The 20899-nt window shown below is 35.2% G+C and overlaps 1 pseudogene, besides 3 other annotated features; it reads right to left on the reverse strand.

Moving 5' to 3' along the window:
- Nucleotides 231-1824: an enhancer, noted in NCBI's record as "VISTA enhancer hs215". NCBI's record gives its function as "enhancer in: dorsal root ganglion[6/8] | cranial nerve[6/8]" and the evidence as "EXISTENCE:transgenic organism evidence [ECO:0001131][PMID:17130149]".
- Nucleotides 505-1530: an enhancer, noted in NCBI's record as "CREST3 sequence used in transgene". NCBI's record gives its function as "activates a zebrafish isl1 promoter in primary sensory neurons of transgenic zebrafish {active_cell/tissue: primary sensory neuron}" and the evidence as "EXISTENCE:transgenic organism evidence [ECO:0001131][PMID:15680372]".
- Nucleotides 805-1223: a conserved region, noted in NCBI's record as "conserved_region; CREST3 subregion that is highly conserved between human, mouse, chicken and zebrafish". NCBI's record gives the evidence for it as "EXISTENCE:sequence alignment evidence [ECO:0000200][PMID:15680372]".
- Nucleotides 16369-16474, reverse strand: RNU6-480P (RNA, U6 small nuclear 480, pseudogene; annotated as a pseudogene).

Below are 20899 nucleotides of genomic sequence, written 5' to 3' on the forward strand. Positions count from 1 at the left end.
GGAAATCGGGATGTATTCATGGACAGCCTTTACCAACACACAAGCAATAAAAGGCATCATATTTGCTTGAGCCATTTAGATGACTTAAAAAATTATTTAAGGAGTGACTAAACTACAGAGAGACTACAGCCCCAATCTGTTTCACTGCAGTAGAGAAAAGGTAACTCTGATAGCAAGTCAAATTTTAAGGCCTTGATATCTAATGATCATTGGGAATAATAACGCAGGAAAGCCTGGACTTGAGTCGCTTTTTCTACTTCAGATATGCTTAATTATCTCCTGATTTCTTAAAATCTGAAAAGCCAGATGCTACATCAAGTCACCTGGACACTTTAAAAGTATATGGAGGTAACTTTTTAAATTAATAGTCCCAAAAAGTTCCCTGAATAGTTTCTTTGGCATCCATTTGATTAAGTATTTTTCCATGACTATTATCTAACTCATGCATTGAATGTGGACTTCCTTCCACCCCCTCCCCACTTTCCCCATTGGAGCAATAATTGCTGTTCTTTTCAAATCCCCTAGGATAGTCTTCGCTCTGCAAAGTTGAAACAAGATGTGACATCCAGTCCTACTTAATCAGTGTTCAGCCCAAACCCACAGTGGCAGTGAAGGGGGTGGTACTTACAATTTGTCCGTGACACTGACCAGGTTTTTAAGGAATGAGAGTGAGGGAAAATAGCATAAAATACTTAAATTTTTATGGAAAAGGTATAACTTGGTGAAAAAGCACCATCATAAATTCCCAAAAAGTGTATCTTAATGATACACTTAGAGTAAATCATTTGCCTTGAGAGACAGGAGGTCTCTGGTGACCCGCATTGCAGCCACAAGAGACTCCTAGACTAGCTACTTTCAGCTAAATGTACTCTCATATTAATATTTTAAAATGCCATAATGCCTCTCTGAAAACCTCAGAGGACAGATACATCAATTTGCGAGGTCTTCACTCCAGGAAATAGAAACAGGGATAATCTGCCATTAAAAGAAATAGTTCATTATGTCTGCTTCTTGGGAGCACATAAACTATGTCCCTCACATACTTAAGTTGCAAATCCTCACTTTAATGTGAAGGGAAACACCATGCCCCAGAGCTTTATTGTCCCACTGTTTATTAGTACAAAAAGGTTTGTTGTGGTATGAAATCTTAAGCTTGTTGCAGTAATCAATCAGCTTCAAAGACTCTTCACCCTGAGCCAGATTCATTACAAATAAATCAATTAAACATAAAGTTTCTATTTTCGGGAGGTTCACAATGCAGAATAGAAGCAAATGCATCACAGTTAGAGAAAGGAATTTTCCTGGAGCGATGTCACTTCACAAAGAGCCCTTTTGCCTTTATTATACCATGGAGCACATGCTCTTTTATTTTAGTTAATTGCAGACATTCTTCTTCTTAGTATATATTTTTCATTGGGGAAAAATCATATCCATATGAAAAAGATATGTGGTAAGCTAAAAATATTGCTGGAGGCAGGAAAAAATAAACAATTGGTTTGTGTCTTCTTGTGATTACCAGCCTGAACCTCTAGTGAAGCATTGGACAATTTTCACTCTCTAAGCTTTATTGTGTTTTTTTTTTCCACCCTCTGTGCTACAGCTGTTTATAGTACAGGCAGCTGGGTGGCAAAAACAAAAACAACAACAAAAAAACAAATCAAATCCAAAAACAAACGACAAGAAAAATCAAAACCAAAACCAAAAATAACAACAACAGAAAAAAAAACAATAAATATCTCAAATTTCAACATCTCAGTATGTCTTCTTCATTAGTGAAACAAATAAAGGACTAAACATTCTAAACCAGAAAGCCTCTTTGATTCATTTTGGGGGTTTAGTAATTGGGAAAAATAGGATTGCAGACAGATTTTTCATCTAAGTCAAACTTACTAAGTGAACACTATAAAAACACTCATCAGTGACGTCCTTATTTTTCAGATATCTTGTCTAATGTGTTTTTTCATAAAACTAGCTGTTTGCAGAGACATCTAAGAAGTGAAAGCGTTTGGCTGTGAGAGGGGCCAAAATCAAATGATTCCTTACAGAAAAATAGTCAAAGTCATTCATGTCACTGGGAGAAGGGGTGGGGTTGGGTAGGGAGATAGATTTGGGGTGTGGGCTGTAGGAGGGTGGGGAGGGTGGAGGAGCAGATCTTTCTTATTTATTACTCTGCTTATATAATAAAATGCTGGCCAGTCCAAACCCCAAAACAAAAAGATGAAAAAGCTTCAGCAATCTAAATAAGTCTCTTTCTCTGGCCAACCATTACTAATAGTTGTTTTGATGACATATGATATGCTCTACATATGGTAACATGTGCAGTGCCCTTCTGGAGCCATCCCAGAGACAAAGATGGAGACACAACCAAATATAACAGCAGGACCCTGTGAGCTCACACTCTCTGCTAGCCTCCATGAAGAGTATGGACTTAGTAGGAAGTATAAAGCCTTCGGTAAAGCATTTTGTCTTTGAGTACTAGATAGTCTTTTTGAGAGAGGTGGGGAAAAATCACCTTTTTCTAGGAATTTACAGTGTGACAGTGCTTATTTGTTTGTCCATGATGAGGTGCATCAAGACCCTCAGTGGTAATAAAACACATGCTCTAATAATAAAATATGCTGGAAAGATAAAGGAAAATCCCCATTGGCACTCTCACCCAATGTGCATCACAGACTTCTATGATGCACCGATTTTGGAGTGAGCATTCCTTCAATTTATCATCCCCAACAAGAAAAAAAACTTCTGAAAGTATGTGGCACTGCTAAAATACACTAATGACAGCATCAACTACTTCATATCTATGTTATTAGACTATGAATGCTCAAGGGAATAATGAATTGTGTTTTAATCAGACAAATCAGAGCTTACCATTGAAATTTTTAGTACTTACTAATGCGCAGCACGTATGTATTCTACAGATAAGTGCTTCAGCAATAAAAGCAATTTTTTTCTTCACATTTATTATATAAATGTCTAATACCAAATCAGATATTTATTTATTTTCAAGAAACTCTAAACTTCCTAGAACTGGTTTGGAACATATTTCATATACTACAGAGATCATTTATATGTCGATTTACTTATATATCTTGATTTAAAAGGTATTTGAGGTGAAATACAGAAAACACTTCTTGAAAAGTCAAGGTATTTAAATTAGAATCCATATCAGGAAACACTGGCTAAAATATAGAGTATAATAAAATAAGTAGGTTATTTTTATAAAGAAGGTTAATTCAGATTACCATCATTAAAGAAGCTCTTGCTACTTCCTCCTACATCCTTACTAGAATTATCTCATATGACAATTGAAGATGACTGTGTATTCTCCTATAAAAAATGAGAGCCACTTGAGGAGTATGGAACTGATTTTTATAAATATTTTTCTATTTTTATGGAATATTCTATTAGAAGATTGACTTTCATCTTTTATCATTAAGATAATTAAGAAATATGATTAAAATATCACAACAAATTTTTAAGATTACGTTATCTAAAATATGATATGTGCTTTTACAGTCCTGAAAACATGTCTGCTTTGGCCATTTTAACTAAATTGGTAATATACCAGTTTGGTAAATGGGTCAAACTGAAAGTGTAAACAAAACCAAAATAGCATCATGTTCTTGACAAATGTGCTGTCACATAAAAAAAAAAAGATGATGACAATGACAATAGTGATGATGAAAGAGGTAGAGATTAGAAAGATAAAGTTAGTGTAATTTTGGCACCTTTAATATTGAAAATTTCTTCCCCACTATAAATAACCCACAAGTGAACTGACTTTAAAAGGAGATTCTGAATTGTGGGAGATAGATCATAAGATATATCCTATCTCTCTATGCTATTATCAGTGCAGAAGAGAATATTGATCTTCATATTTGTTATGATAGGGAAGCTTGTGCTTAATTGTTCAAAAATATGTTACTAAGCTATTTACAGAAAAGTTCAACAGATATTCTGATTAGATAATTCAAGAGAATAATTTAACCTAATTTTGATAACCAATTTCTAGCTATTTTAATTACAATGTTTATATTATGACGAAAAAATTAGGAAAAACAATTCAATGGGAATGTTATCACTTCTTTGGCTAACACATAGATTTAAAAAGAGAAACAAAGAATGATGATGGAGAAATAAATATCCTTATTGTTATTACACATTTTCTGAGTAAGGAGTTTGAACGGTCAGTAGGTTATCTGTGCCTGAAGCCAGCCTGCTGCTCATGCAGGTGATTAGTCTGAGAGCCCAGACCTGTAGGTTAGTGGGAAGAAAGTGAGTAAAGCGCTTTGATGCTGAATCCAGGGAGCCCTTATGTATGTATGTATGTATGTATGTATGTATGTATGTATGTATGTATATAGTATGGCATATGAAAAATTCCCTTTTTATTAATTGGTCAGTTTATGTATAATTCCTATTTTCACAAATTATTCCTAGGGAGGCAATGCAAATATGATTGCTGGAATAGGTGTCTATCAAACAGTAGAGAATTTAAATAGTTCAGGAGCCAAAGGATTTTCTCTTGGCTGTCTTTTTAAATTCTTCTTTTTTAAATAGCACATGCCTCCCTGATTCCAATCAGGGATAATTTTTTATCTGTAAAATAATACAGAGATTGTCATATGGCTGTGGATTCAGGAGAAGTCAGTTACTAAGTCATCCAGGAACATTTGTGACTCTCTACATCCTCCATACTTTGTACCTGAAATTACTCCTTAGGAAATTATGGCCCCACATCTCAATTACTGTGGTGAATAATTTTGAATCCCAGGACATTCCACTGAAGTTTGCTACAATCTACGTAATAAAATACATTATTATATAAACATGCAATGCCTTTTCTGCCTACTCTGATTCTGCTTACTTTACTATGGTATTTCTGGCTTCTTGGCAGCTAATATCAAGAGAAGGGATGACCAGTCTGCTATCTCAACCCTACAAAAAGAGCATTCAGGGCATGTGTGGGCCTGCTCAGATCTGTTGAAGTGTCATTAGTGGGAAAGCTTAGTTGAAGCAGAGTGCTTTGAATTCTTTGCACTATAATAGAAGATTAATTATAGTATTAGAGAAAAAACTCGTTCCATCTCAGCCTAACTGAACCTCTGAGTTCACCATTCCAATTAAACGTTTAGAATTCCGAGTACCATCGTTAAGCTATAGAATAAATGTAATGAGAAAATTCTAGCATATTCGCTTTATGCAGAAATTTATTTACATAAAGGCTAATTATTAAATATCCAATATTGGCTTATATATCAAAGATATTATTTAGATTTCTTGGGCTAGCAAGTAGAGAAAGACTTCAGAGCCAAACTGAAAAAACTGGATAGGAGGTGGATGCAGTGGAGACAGCTATTTTTAAAGTCTATCAGTGAAAGGAGAGAGAAAAGTAAGATGGTAGAAAAGAGTAACTTCAGGATTGAGTAAAAGCAAAATGTTTTTCCAAAGAGTGGTACTGAGGGCAATGGGAAAAAGGTAGAAGTTCTCACGTTCATATTTTCCAGAGGCATTAGAGGGACCATTGTAAAGGGAAAGCTGGGTTCTTGCAGTGGGGCTAGGCCCTGAGTTTAGAGGAGAAGTTCACCGGGATGGTTTTGTTATTCTAAGGAAAGTAAATGATGGCTTTTTCTGTTCAGTGAGAAAGAGAGGAGGGTAGATTGGGGATTAGGAGTGCGTGCTAAGACAATTAGAATTGTTTTTTGGAGAATATGAGAGAAGATTCATGAGACCAAGGAAGAGTTAAAGAGATTTGGAAGAGCCACTGTGAGCCCAGTTCAAGTGAGAAAACTCTGATTTTGATTCTATCTTTAGGCTGCTTTGACCTACTTTGAAACCTCCCAAATGGTCACAACTTTTCTGCTTTGTCCCTGGACCACCATGGTAAGGTCTTACATGGCCTGCTTGTCTCATGAAAAAAAAAAAAACGTGTTCTAAATCTTTCTCACTTCCAAAACCAAAATTCATTTTTTTTTGCACCAACCATATCAAACTAATGTGGTAAATGTATAATGTAAAAAGGGATCATGATTACTTCACCTATCCCTACAAGATTTTTGTCATTCCCTCCCAAGTGACACTATTTTTCAATAGGGTAATTTAGAAAATAATTCTATACCCCAGAAGAAAAAGACAAAGTTGGAAAGTTTCAGGCAAGATGGGGGGATTTATAAGGCAACCTATGTAAGCAGTGGGTTTTGAAAGATTTCTTATATCACATCACATCATATAACTGGCCACAGCTAATATAAAATATATTTGTGTGTATATATGTATATACAATATCTATATGATGATTATATATGAATATTACCTGTGCATTAGGGCTATTCTTTCCTAAAAACCTGGAGAGAAAAGATTGTGCTGAGCTGTATAAATATTTCTCCCTGATTGCACAGTATATAAAAATAAAATGACACTTTCAAAATACTTTACCCTGAAAACTTTTCTATTACTTGGGGAAGCTCTTCTTAACTGCTTCCTTCGAGTTTCGTTTGTGATTTACTGGGACCATTTAGAGACAGCTCATATTTTCTAGACATACTGTAGGTATTTTAATGCCTTAATCAATTTTTGCCACTTTAGTTCCTCTGCTGGGCTAGATTAATCTTTCCCTAGGTTCCCAACTTTCAAAGAAGAACACTTATCAAAATCATCTTTACAGGAAAAAATGAGGCTGCAATTAAAAAAAAAGAAAAACGCTTATCTCTCCCAAGTCATATATCACAAATATTGTTAACTATGATATAAACAGCTTTTTGAATGAAGACTTAAAATGAATACATGGTCTTCAGTTCTAGAAACTGTGTAAAAGTAAATACTCTTTCCTTTTCAATTTAAGTCAATTTGATTTTCATTTTTGCTCCACTGATAAATTACAATATGTCACTCCCAAAGTAGTAGAGGCACCATACCCAAAACTTGTGGTATGGGTGAAAATGATATTGTAAAGCAGGGGAGAAGAAAGAAAGTAGGAGGGGGCATGGGAAACCCCCTATAAATGAATCTCCAATGTCTAATTGGGGGGATGGTTTATTAAGTAGGATCCTGTTTATCTTTCTAGGCTCATTTGGTTTCAGCATATATGTGATCTGTTCTTTTGACAAGCCTTCCCTGTCTTACTTTTCCAAAAGTCCTCGACTATCATACAAAGAATATCAGAAGAAAAGAAAAATCATTTTTTTGATGTTGTTCTTCTGTGATAAGGACAGAGACAATACATTGGATTGACCACATTTCTTTCCCCTTTCTTCAGGAGTAAAGGGGTGGCAGAAATAGTGAGTTTGACCCCAACTAACTTATAAATGTAACAGACTAAGGTATCTGTCTCTTACAATTTCCTTTGTGATGGCATTCCTCTTGGCTAACTATTAGTAACAAAAGAAACTACATTCTTAATTCAGACATAAGCTAAAGATCTAGGTCCTTTTGATGTCTATACCAGCAAGAGTATCTAAAGATACACAGTATTGACAGTCCAGCCTTGAAATCCCAGGACTGTTCTCAAATAAATATTTTGAAACATTAAAAATTTGACAAGAACATACATTTTCAAGAAATGAAATAAAGCTTGGATCACCTCTAAAATAAATTTAAAATTATTCCTCTCGAGATAAATTTTAACATGGGAAAATTTCTACCCATCTTCCCTCAAAAACAAGTTACAGCAATATTTGATGTCATTTCACAAATTTTACTGATAGGAAATATGGTTTTGGTCTGTAACTTTTATGAACATTATCTAGACATGCATTAATTCCTAAAAGCCCTTGTGGTCATCATTTGTTGCTTTTATCAGCCTAGGAATATATTAACTATGGACGAGAGGCAAGAGAGGAAGAAAACTTTGGGTTGAGAATCAAGAAAATTGGGAAAGATGAGCTCCTGGCTGGATTCCAATGTTGATTTTTTGAAGTCAGTCACACAGTCTCAATGGACCTCAGTTGTCCCCACCTGTAAAATGAGGAGTTAGAGCTAAAGTACTCTCTGGGGTCTCTCCCAGCATTAAGAGTTTTTGTTTGAAAGCCTTGTCAAAAGTAGCAGTCTCAACTATTCAAAAAGATTCTGCAACAAGGAAACTCTGATAAAACATTATAAACCTGGTAATTCGTTGATTTCTCAGTGTTTCTGATTTACCTTGAGGTATTAAAAAAAAAATACATGCAGATGCCACTAGGTGAAGTGCGTATTTTCTTTTCTTGCTTTTATATACTGTGGTCTCTGCCCAATAGAACTGTGAGAGTCCATAGCAATGCAATGAAGTGAGACAGGAAAGGCAGCTTAAGTCCATCACTTAGAAGGCAAAATCTGACTGATGGGAGACGTTCTGAGTGGGATGTTGGTGCTCTTTCCTGCTCATGTTTAATTGAGGATGCATATTTGAAAGTCTCTCGATAGGTTAAGTAGAAATCTGATTCTGTCCTTTGAAAGAAAACGGTTAATAATATGCGATGTGAACATGTTTTCCTGTTCTGCTTAGCAATTTGCATAGGCCAGCACTCCCTGTTTGTCTCTTGATAACCTCATCAATCTCATCCATGCCCTCCTGACCACAGTGCCTGATTGCAGTAATTCCATTTTAGTGGGGCTTTCAGGAGGACTTGGCTTCTGCGTTTAGCTAGTACTGCACATTGGAGTGATCCTGTCTTCCCCAGAGTGAGCAGCTGAGATCATATTATGCCTCCCTTGATTTCTTTGTAAAGGCTGCCTATAGAATTTCATATTGATTTTAAGCTGGTGCTGTTTCATTTTTAACTCCTTTGTAAGTCAGAAGTCCAGTTATATTAGTGTCTCCTCCCTGTCATTCTGACAGGCATTGGTTATCTGCTTTTTTTCTTGCAGTCCTTGCCCTTCATTCTGTGGCAGCTCTTTTGGTATCGAACTTGTTGCCTTTACTCTTTTGTTGTTCTTCATGTGTTTTAAAAATCTCAGGGCAGTATAGCACAAGGATGTAAGGCTGAGTACAATTTTAAAAGTCTAATATGTAAATGAGTAAACAAAGAGCTCAAAAAACCAGAAAGGTCAATAGAGGATGGGTATTCATGCTGAGGATGCACAGTAGCTTTGGCAGCCTTACATTATTGTAGAGAGGGTTTCGTAGATGCAAGGTTTGCCAAGTAATGAAGCAGAGCCCAGTTGTTAGTTGAATAGTGAGAAATGGCTACAGGTATGACTTGTTGGAAGCATATCTTAGTTTTAATGTTTATTAACTGGCTGCTCTTCAGAACCTTAATTTGGTGTCATTTGGCATAAAATCTGTCCTAAAGCAATGCAATATAAAGATTTATAAGTGACACTGCACTCCATAAACATGCACTGTGTAGTGCCTTAGAATTTACATAGCCTTTCAAATCAATTGTCTTATCTGATCTTCACATAGGCCCTGTGACACAGGCAGTATAGCTATTAATATGTCCATTTTAGAGGTAAGGAAGCAGATACCAAGAGAGCACACACATATAATAGAACTGAGGCTGGAATTTTAGTTTCCTAAAACCAAACTTGTTGCTCTTTAATTCTGTGGCAGTCTCAAGTAATGCAAGCAAAAATATAACTATTGCATATCTTTGCATCACCTTTAGATTTACAATTCCTTATTTATTTCCTTGTCTTTGTACTTTCTGAGTGTACTTTCAGATTTATCTCCAGCAGAGCAGAGTTACTTTTATCACAAAAGAGAATGACAGAAATCAAGGTCTCCACGTTAAGCAGATTATTCTTAACTGCTTAGGGAATTTTCCCACTGGATTGCCCTATTGTACTTAAAATTTTATTTTAGCTCCATTTTCTTGTCTGTAAAGTGAAGGGGTTAGGCTATGTTCCTCTCATTCTATGGTAGTGTGATTAGGAGAGTGGAAGGTGAAGAAAGAATCAGAGCTGCAAGTGAATATGATTATCATGGAATCGCAAGTACAGGGCATAATGCATGTTTTAAAACTGGAGATAGTATTTATTTTCTAAAGTGTTTCCTTATGAATTACCTTCATCCTTCAGTGTACTGTTTAGTCTTACTGCAAACATATTCCTTTTACAAATCCGAATCAATTTGTTTGCCTTCCATATAAGATACAATTTTCAAAATGTGTTTATGTCCAAAAACAACATGCTTAGTTTTAGATAATTCTTTCAGTTGATATAGGGTTTTTTGAGACTAAGTGTAAATATTCTCTAAAATAGTTACATTTTTCCCCTTAGTTGTCACTTTCTAGAACACTTAAGCATTAGCAATCATTTTTAATTTAGTGATTTCATCTTCTTTATTTAATGGCTCACTGCTATATTTGAAACTAAACCATGTATATTTCAACTTTCAAGAGCCAATAGGCTTTGAAAAAACTTGGGTTGGAGTCAATAATTTCCTTTTAAAAATATTTCATATTGTAAATCAGATAAATATCTATTTCATATTTTAACAATTTCCCTTGTTGCATACAGCAAAACTGATTTGTGTGTTATGCTAAATATCTCTTAGCTAATAGAACTAGAGTAATTTAAAATATTCAGAGATTTGGATAAAAATATGATTCATAAATATGCCTTACAAAGCCTTTGGATAAATACTGAGTTTTGCAAGACTCATGGGTTATACATCCCAGGCTCCAATATGGCACTTTGGAAACTAGCATCATGAGCATGAACAAGATAACAACCACATCACAAAGCCTAGAGAAATACATTTAAGTAGTAAAACTTTCTCTTTTTTCCTTCAAATGTAACTTTCATAATGTCATTAGACTATCCCTAGTAATAAGCTCATAATTCACCCTTTTATCTGTATTTTTTAATGTTCTTAAATAAATAGGAACTCAAATTGAGAGGAAACTTAGGGCTTAATTTCTGCTTGTAATTTCTAATATTTTATGTGCAGAAATACAAACCCAGGCTGCATGACTCTTTTTCAACTTTTGTGCATGATTTCCTCAGTGAATTTATTTGCTGCAAAGGCCACCAGACCATTTTTTCTTCTTAACACATAAACTGACTTTGTTACCAAGGTTTTTTTTTTTTTTTTTTTTTTTTTTTTTTTTTTTTTTGACATGATGGCTTTTTATTCCCTTAAGTTCAACCATAAGGTGGATATGATCAAAACTGGCAAACAGCAAACATATTCCCTTAATAAAATATATAGTTATAGTTTCATTTGTGTACAATCATGACAGCAAAACAAAAAGCCAGGCAAAACTCACCACTTTTTCTTAAAAAATAAAACAGTTCGATATGCAGCTCAGGCTCCTTAAATGGTTTGTGGACGTCTCAATGTCTTTCCATCAACCTGGGTCACCTCTTGCACACACTATGGATAATGTCTGGTTTTAGATGGAACCATTACTAAACTTCAGTATGCTGAGATTTGCTTCGAGTCTTAGAGCTTATTCGTATTGAAACTTGGGAGATATAAACTGAAATAAAAATCCCACATTCAAAGAGTTGCCTGAAAGTTGAAACCACCCAGCCTCAGGCAGCTGCAGCCACTGTGATCCTATGACCAAAGTTTCTGAGAGGCTTACCCTCAGTGAAGTCATTAACAGAGTAATCGTCCCAAATTTTTATAGGCACATCAACTGGCAATGATAGAACATGAGTTAATTTTTTTGGCCTTCTTGCTTATGATTCAAATTTATCTTTTGTGTGTCTTGTTTCAGTAACATCAAAAGAGAAGAAAAAAAAATCAGGGAGGTAGAGAGCACATTCTCAGAGAGCACATCTCTCAATTCCAGAAAGCACATTCTCACTCTGATGTTTCTGATATAGAATCTTAGAGTGGACTTAAGAGGAGCCAGCTGTGTGGGAGCACATATTGATGACTTCGTCGGCAGTACTTCCCCAATGAGTGCCAAGCTACAGATGCACTCCCAATCAATTCCCACACAGCTACAGTTTAGTGAACTATTCTGAATGAAAAGAACATGGCACTGGGGGCTGTGAGATCCAGAAACATCAGGGCAGAGTCCAAAGACAGCATATCTCCAAACAAAGCAGAGTGGCAGTAGACCTAAAGAGGCAAAGTGACAGGAAAATAAGGAAGGAGTAAACTAAGGCAAAGTGTGCGTGTATGTGTGAGTGTAAACTAGATATGAGAAAAATAGACGTTGCTTTCTTATAAATGTCGTAAAGTGAGTTTGTTAGTTGCAAGATAAAATACAGGTGATTGCCCTATGTAGTAGAGATCATATACCGCTTGTTGAATTAAATGAAATGGAATAAACAAATACAGTTCTTTAAAAAAAGAACAAATATGAAACCAACAAAAAGTGAAAATATTTACATACATAATATACAATCTTTTTTGGTGAAATTTTTAAAAAATAATGGAATATGATTTTATAGCAATTACAGCATGCAAGCTGACTTCATTTACATTTTATCTGTGAACATTGGATGTTGTGTTCTGCAATCTCTTTCTAGCATTCGGGTGGTCCTCTGAGGGTTGTCTGTGTTTATAAATGTATATATACCATTTATGATCTCCTAAATGGGAACTTTTGAAGAACGGAAAAAAGTCTTAAGATAACTTAAAAATATGAAATATTTTATATTTTTTTAAAGAAGTTAGAATTCACCTTTAAAATTCAAAAATAAAAATATTTAATTTTTATCTAGTTTAAATGCTTAAATTGATCAACAATGTATAAAAATTCACTCAAGATAATAACTTTAAATTCAATATCAAGTGATTTTTAAAATAATTTTCCAGTACAAAAATAGCAGAGCCTGTTTTTGTTTCAATGCCATTGATTTTTAACTCAATGATAAAAAACAGGCACTTTATTTTAAAATTCCTCAATGTTTTCTTGATGTTTATGGTCTATTGTTAAAGTGGGAAATAATTTCTACCTAAGACAACATAGGTAGAAATTCACAATGAACTAAAAACTAAATGTTACTATTTTTTTTTAAGTAAGCATCATGGAATAAATAAATCAGGATCAATGAACAAAAATGGTCTTATTTAACTAAGGCAAAAATGTACACATACATTTTTCATAGGTTTTATAGGACATGAAAGATAAGATAGGTATAGAAAAAAATTTCAGAGCTAAAGTTTCTAAGTGGAATATGAGTTGTTTGTAACATTGCAAAGTTTCTCCAGAAAGTGTCTGGGACAAGCCACTTTCTAAGGTAGCCCAGACACAATTAAGTAGGTAGAACAATTCAATTGCACATAAGATTATAATCAATGATACCTTTTGCCTTAGGCACTTTTATATTTTGCATTTGTATAAATATACATTTCTTTTTATGTAAATTTTTAATAATATTATTGAGCAATTACTCTAATAGTTACTTAATTCAAATAACCTCAATTTTCTTGTTGTTTCTTTCAATCATATTGTGAGGTTATTGTTCCATTTTGCAGACAAGAATCCTTTGTACATATGGTGAATGGGAATACTAAAACAAAAACCATTTATTTCAGTCACTATTTTCCTTGACTCACCTACTTACTGGAGTATAGTGCTGCATGTATATTATGCACTTAATATATACTTCATGATTGATTGATTGATCAAAAATTAATTAAGGTTCTTGTCCTGTGAGATATCTACAATAGCATCTAAGAAAACAGAATAAATACCTCCTATTTTTTGAAAGCTTCCTGTGCTTTTTCTATCTTTCCAGAAGTTGAGCCCAGCAATCATGATATCGGCAAACGTCCCTCAACATAAAAAATCTTTCTCTTCCTCTGAACTCCCCTTCTCTGTCCCGATGACACCCTGCTCAGTGAAGTGCAAACAATCGATGGGTTCTCTGTCAATCAATGAGTGTCTCTTCTAAGAGGCACAGAAATGTGGAAAACAGTCCTGGACTGTGAGGGGCTGGGGGAAGAATAGCTGGCAATTTTTTTTTTTTTTTTTTGAGACGGAGTCTCGCTCTGTCGCCCGGGCTGGACAGGCTGGAGTGCAGTGGCGCGATCTCTGCTCATTGCAAGCTCCGCCTCCCGGGTTCATGCCATTCTCCTGCCTCAGTCTCCCGAGTAGGTGGGATTATAGGCGCCTGCCACCAGGCCAGGCTAATTTTTTTTGTATTTTTAGTAGAGACGGGGTTTCACCGTGTTAGCCAGGATGGTCTCGATCTCCTGACCTCGTGATCCGTCCGCCTCAGCCTCCCAAAGTGCTGGGATTACAGGCGTGAGCCACTGCTCCCGGCCTAGCTGCCATTTCTTTACAACTTAACTGGCAGTATGTATTTGGTCATATCACTTCTCACCTGCTCTAGACCTCCGTTTGCTCATCTGCAAAATGATAGTATTTGAAAGGTTAATTCTAAGATTCCTTCTAGCTCTCCTGATCTCTGCTTCTATTTATAACATCTTTATTTCTTGAGGTGGGTGGGCATTCGAAGAAATAAATTCAGAAGGTAGAAATGTTCTGAAATACACAGTTTGTTAAACTCATTCCAAAGAAGCACACATTCTATTTTTCTCCTCAACTGCTTTCTTGTTTTAAGGTTTATATTTTCAAAATGATGCTTTCTGAATAAATATATGGGGGCAATAAAACCAGCCATAAAAGCAAACCAGTAAGGTGGCAATAAAATATGAATCATGGTTCCCAGTATCAGTAGAATTGTCAGAATGTACATATCACCGTGTATGACACTAACACTTGTGTTCTCTAGCGGGGAGGCATGTGCTAACCTAGGACTGAGCAGACATTGAAGTATAGAATGGGGAAAATAACATAAAAGAATCTCTCTATGTCTTACAGCCAGTATGGCTCAAAAATTTACCATTTGGAAGAGTTGTAGTTGGATCAAGGTATGATCCAGCAGATAAAATGGTGTCAAGAAATTGAGGGAAGTACTTTCTGTCTTTGATTCTGTACTTCACAGGATGAGTGATGTTGAAGAAGGTTATGAACCTTTATATATCAACTTCTCCACAGTGAACTAATGAAATAACACTCGACTTCCCTCAGTTGTATGTGTTTCTTCATAAGACTAATATTTATAAAAGGTTTCAGTCTCTTTATAAGGAAGAACTCTGTAATAATAATAATAGTAATAATAAGGACTGTAGTCATTTCCCACCACAAATGTTCAGGAAATAAAATGAATAGTGTCACAGAGCAATTTGCTAAACTATATTTTGTAAGTACAAATAGGAATTTTCTGCATCACATGCAATTCAGTCTATCGAATTTGTATGAACATAACCAAGGAGAATACAATACAGAAGCTGTAATTTAATGATCACACTAGACAGCAGCCTCCCACATAGCAAGAGGTTATCATAATTATTTACATTTGGGTGTAGAAAGAAGACAAAATGTGTCATCTTTTTGGTTACTGCTTACATTAAAAAAAGAAAACGCTCTTCTCGAACAGGTGCAGTAAGCAATATGAATTAATTAAAACTCACTAACTTTGATACTGGAAGCAGAAATTTATATCCAATAAATAATTTCTCTAATTTAAGACAAGAGGTTCTCTTGGGAAGAGAAAATCTTCAAAAGATTTAGAGAAAGGAAATCATGACTTTTGACGTATCACTGCAGCCACATATCCAACAGCTGGCTGATACAGTTTTGAGAATACACTGGAGAACTGCAGATTCTGAGGGGTCTACACCTTGCCTCCAGTTTCTTCCACTCAGAATTTTCACGGTTTATACTTGTATGTACACTGCTTGCTGGATATAGATAGGTGTTTACAGAACATGTATTATTAGAACCAGGGAGAGTAAACAGAATATCTGTCTGAATTAACTTTCCTGTCCAGCCACTTTGGGATAATCAGATTTTTATCTGAATAGAAATGAGATTTAGGTATAGAAGATGGTCATAGATAGAGGTGTTTTCCCCAATCTTGTAATGAAATCACCTTCCACTATTTTTACAACATTTTCTAAAATATTGAATTGAGCAAGAGATTAAGAAAAATCTTGCTTTGGTGTGTGTTCTCTGCCATGAATGTGGTTTTAAGGATAAAAATGTACTCCATGCTCATGAGTACATCCTCACCAGTTTATAAGGGGGAGTGAGGTCATGAAATTCAGCAAGCACATCTGAGCAAACCATGTAATCAGGATGATGGAGGCATTCTAGCTTTATTTAGGAGAAAAGACTCCAAAAGGCCAAGACCAGGACCAGTTAGGCAAAATGTGAAGCAGATTGGAGTGTTAAAATGTACTAAAAATAGAATATTTCCAAAGAATGTATATGGAGTTGCTTTTAGAAGTAAGAGAATTATGCAACTAGGAGGAAGTAGGAGGTTACTGGGAATATTTTATGTAAAAAAGAGCTTAAAGATCAATTTACCTATTTCACATCTCTTCTGAAATCATGCTCTGAAAACCCTATTTAGTAGCCAGACTTATTATTATTATTATTATTTAATTTACTTTAAGTTCTGGGATACATGTGCAGAAAAATATGGAACGCTTCACAAATTTGTGTGTCATCCTTGTGCAGGGGCCATGCTTATCTTCTCTATATCATTCCAATTTTAGTATATGTGCTGCCGAAGCAAGCACCAGACTTATTTTTATTGTGTATTCTCTGAATACCAGGTATATGATTAGATTTAGCAAACAAGTTACTTATCATGTTATATGATGCTTCCCAAACAACATTGTAAAGCTGCATTTCTTTGGAAGTCAACTATTGTACTCAAATTCATATGAGCTACATGAGACAAATAAAAAATACATCCACAAATTTAAACATATTTATTGAGTGACTACAATATGCCAGGTACCATTCTACGTGCTGAGTATACCTTGGAGAACAACTGCAAATAGCCCTGAACTTTTTCTACTGGGGAAGGAGATAGATGGTAAATATGGAACACATGTACTGTGTCAGAATATCATAAGTTTATGAAGGAAAGTAAAACAGGAAGGGAGCCTACAGAGCGCCAAGCCTGGTCAATGGGGCAGGGATGTGAAATGTTATCTAGAAAATTCTAAGATAGGTGCTCTGAGAAGGTGGCATTTAGGCCAAAACTTGAAGCTCAGATGAGCCCACTGTCAATGAAACATAAAGTTAAATTTAAATTGATTATTTTTACCTTTATCAATGTAGATTCACTCTTTATTCCATCTTGTCTTATGTTTTATCCAAGAAAGACACAAATCTAAGATCTTGAGGAATTTAACTTTCTTGAATCTTTACGCTTCTCTATGAAAGCACTTACCCCATAAGAAAAAATGTAATCTTTGTCCTGTGCTGTAATGCAATGCAGTGTGTGGCAGAAAGCATAAAAGTGAGAACTAAGAAAACTGGGTTCTAGTTGTATGATTTATACATTAATTAATAACCTCAGTTTGTTCATTTGGGGAATGAGGGCATTGGACTATTTCAATATTTCCAAAAGGAGCATAACATTCCATGGAGCACTTGTGCTGGAGACACTTGAAAATCAAGAGTGGACAATTAAATTTGGAAGCATCATATGTCAGATGGTCCCTAACTGAGGAGTACAAAGGCATTTCAGCAGGTTAAAGAAACTGAGGAGGTAGTGAATAAAAGGAAGCCATTTAACGATTAACTTTGTTTAACTCAAAATTTCCTAAACATATTAGAACAAACTTGGGAAACACTGAAATAGATCATCAATGCTAATGTTTTTACAGTTAAGAAATTCTATGAGTGTTCTTTTTCATTGTTAGTTCCATTCTACTGTATCCTTAAAGATGACCTAATTATGCAGAGACTGACAACGACATAAAAATCTCAGACACTTAAACAATAAAACTTATTCCTTACTTATGTGACATGTCCATTGAGGATTGGCTGCAGTCTTCGTTCCACAGTTTTCTCACTGCATTTTCCAGTAAGCAGAACAACCACAGTCTAAGCATTATCCATCAGTCTGGCATAAAAAAGGAGAGGCTACTGTGACCTAATTTGAAGTGCATTTGGAAGTATATGCTTAATTTGTGCTTGAAAAAGTACAGATATTGGTGAAAGCACTAATGACTCCATGTTTACCTCCTGAAATAACCTCATGGCTACATTAAATCTAATAAATGCTAGATTTTATAAGTTTTATGTTGTCAACTGCTGGATTTTGTGGTCTTCCAATAAGACTTTATTCCGGTAGGAAATAGGTTACTCGTGGATAAGCTTTATCTTTTTGAGACTTAATTTCAAGTGCTTTTTGGATAGGACTAGAGTATCGTTTTTTTCTAATGCTCATTTAGCCCTGTTTCTGAGGCATGACCCTCCTTTCACGGCCTCTATTGAATGGTTTGATGAGTCAAGAAGGTTTCTCTATTCTGGCTAGTGGAAATTTCAACAATTCTTGACCCTGTGTAAACTCTGAATATTATTCAGTACCCGCTGTCCAGCAATTGTCGTTTCTTCAGAAGTTGTTGCCTAGCCTCCTGGGGATTCACTTTATGCATGCAGAGGTTGATATTAAGCCAAAGATTCAAAGGACTGCTATGCATATTTTTGGAATTCTTACCCTGTATAGCTCCCTCCTGTAAATGGCCTGCAAATTCTACCCACCTCTTCACTCAGGGAGGCCAGGAGGATCTATTTGGATTTCCCATCCCTGCATTGCAGTGTAGAAATTTTCTCTAGGCAGAAAGCCTGGGCAGCAATAAGTCTCATTTCTTTGGTTCTTTTCTGTCAAGGATCCCAGTGCTGTACTGTCTGCTGCTCAAAGTATGAAAATAGTTATTTCCTACATTTTGTCCAGTTTTCTAGTTGTTTATGGCAGGAGAATAATTTCAAACCCTGTTATTCCCTCATGGCTGGAAACTCAAGTTTCCTAAATCTAAATTTAGCCCTTGTTTTATAAATACTTGGTTTTCCAGCATGGCAAAGCATCATGTCTTGAATGTCAACAAAATGGATTTCTTGTTTTTCCCTGGGATAACAGAAAGCTATAAACATGAGAAACTCCAAATACTATACTTCCAATTTCCTGAAAGGTAACTCCTGGAGCCAATGGAAAAAGTATATGCTGACCTAAGTAATTGTCAAGATATGTAAGCAAAGAGACCATTTCTAAGGCAAACAACTTATTTTTTTTTCCTGAAGCATCAATACATAGTAAAAATATTCGTTTCTATAAATATTTGTCTTGAAGTCAAATAGAGACTAAAATATATTATTAAGAAACTAGTACAAACCTAATCTAGAAAAACAGCAATAATTTTATTATACATGTTATTTCTTGGTAAGCCAATGATTTGAGTTCTTACATTGGAATATCGAGTATCTCCTGGTACTAAACATTAAATAACAACCTTAGAAATTGTATGAAAGGGCCAAAATAGAAACTGTAGTTTGTAGTGTTGCACTATCCTAGTGTCTAGAGCATATTAGGTTACCCAATAGATATTACTTGAATACTGGATGAATGAAAGAAAGATGACAAGAAAAGGTGAGGTGTTATGATGTAGTAAAAATTATTTCTTAGAAGGAAGGCGTTTCTCTTTACTTCCTTGAAGTACTGAGTTCTGAGAAAGTGTCTAAGGCCATTGGTTTTAGCATCAGACAGATGGATGGATATAATTCTCACAAGAATTCTGGAGACTGCAATAATAATAATAAATAATGATGCAATAATGATATAGTAATAATAAATAATGAATAATCATGATGGCAAATAATGATAATGAATTATTCTTGTGTGCTTTCTATGCGCCAAATGCTGTTCTATGCACTTTTAATGTTTACCTCATTGATCCTTTATCAGACTATGAAATGAATATTACTGCCACATTTCATAGTTATGGAGATTAAGGAATAGGGATAATGAGTAACTTGAGCATGGTGACAGAGCAAATAGTGGCAGATAAAGGTTGTATATCTACAATCTGGTCCTAGTGCCATCAGTTTTAACTACAGAGCTATACTGACTCTCTGTACACAGGGACCAAATATAGAGGAGCTCACCAATATGAAAAGTATAGAAAATCCTTCCAGAAGTTAAAATATAAAACTAATAATGAATTTTGAATTTTTGAAAAATTTTAGTAGAGACAAGGTCTCAATATGTTGCCCAGGCTGGCTTCCAACTCCTGAGCTCAAGCAATGCTCCTGTAATCCCAAAGTTCTGGGATTACAGGTATGAGCCACCCTGCCTGGCTATAGTTCCTTAGTGTCAGTTCAAGTGTTCCATTCAATATTGGAAGTCCAGTGGCAGTCTGCTTCCATTCTGTTTCTTTCTCTGTACATGTTGTGATGAATGATAAATTGTTTTCCTTTTATTTTATTTATTCCTGTGATTTAGCTTATGGAGAAGAATAAAAGGGTTAAAGCTCCCAGGCCCAAAACAGAATTTACCAGAAATGAAGATATGTGTAATAATTTCCAAATTGTATTTACGGATACCATTTTATTCTATCGATTGAAACTGTACTCAGCAAAGGCTATCATACAAAGGAGATACGAGAGAATAAGAAATTGAAACAAAGCATTGATGGAAGTTTCCTAACAGCAAAAAATGAGAAGGCTGTGCCATCCCAGGGGAAGTGGGGGTGGATCTGATGCCTGAAACAATGAGAGCTGTGATGGAATCAATGGCAGCGGATCCCGTAATTACTAAATTAGACTGTTCCATTTCTGGATAATGCATGCTGCATTTTGATCTTGATTTGAAATCCAATTAGTTCAGGATCATCATTCCTTTTAGTTCTAGCTTCTCTCTGGTGACTTTGAGACTAGAGCAATAGTGTAGTATTTTTGTGTTCTTTCATGTCTTTGAAGATACAGTTTTTTAAATATATGGCAACAGGTGTCCTCTGCTCCCACTCTTACATATTTTACTGATTACTCTCTCGGTTTATTCTCTCATGCTCTCAAGTCATAGCAACCAGTGAAATGCTACATTGATACACATTTGGCTTTTCCAATAAATAATGACAACCAACCATGAAACACTTGTCTTTGAAATCGCCGCTACCTTTTAATGTTTTTTAAAAATGTTTTATTTACTAGAT

The sequence above is a fragment of the Homo sapiens genome, chromosome 5 (genome assembly GCF_000001405.40).
Source record: "Homo sapiens chromosome 5, GRCh38.p14 Primary Assembly".
NCBI lineage: Eukaryota > Metazoa > Chordata > Mammalia > Primates > Hominidae > Homo > Homo sapiens.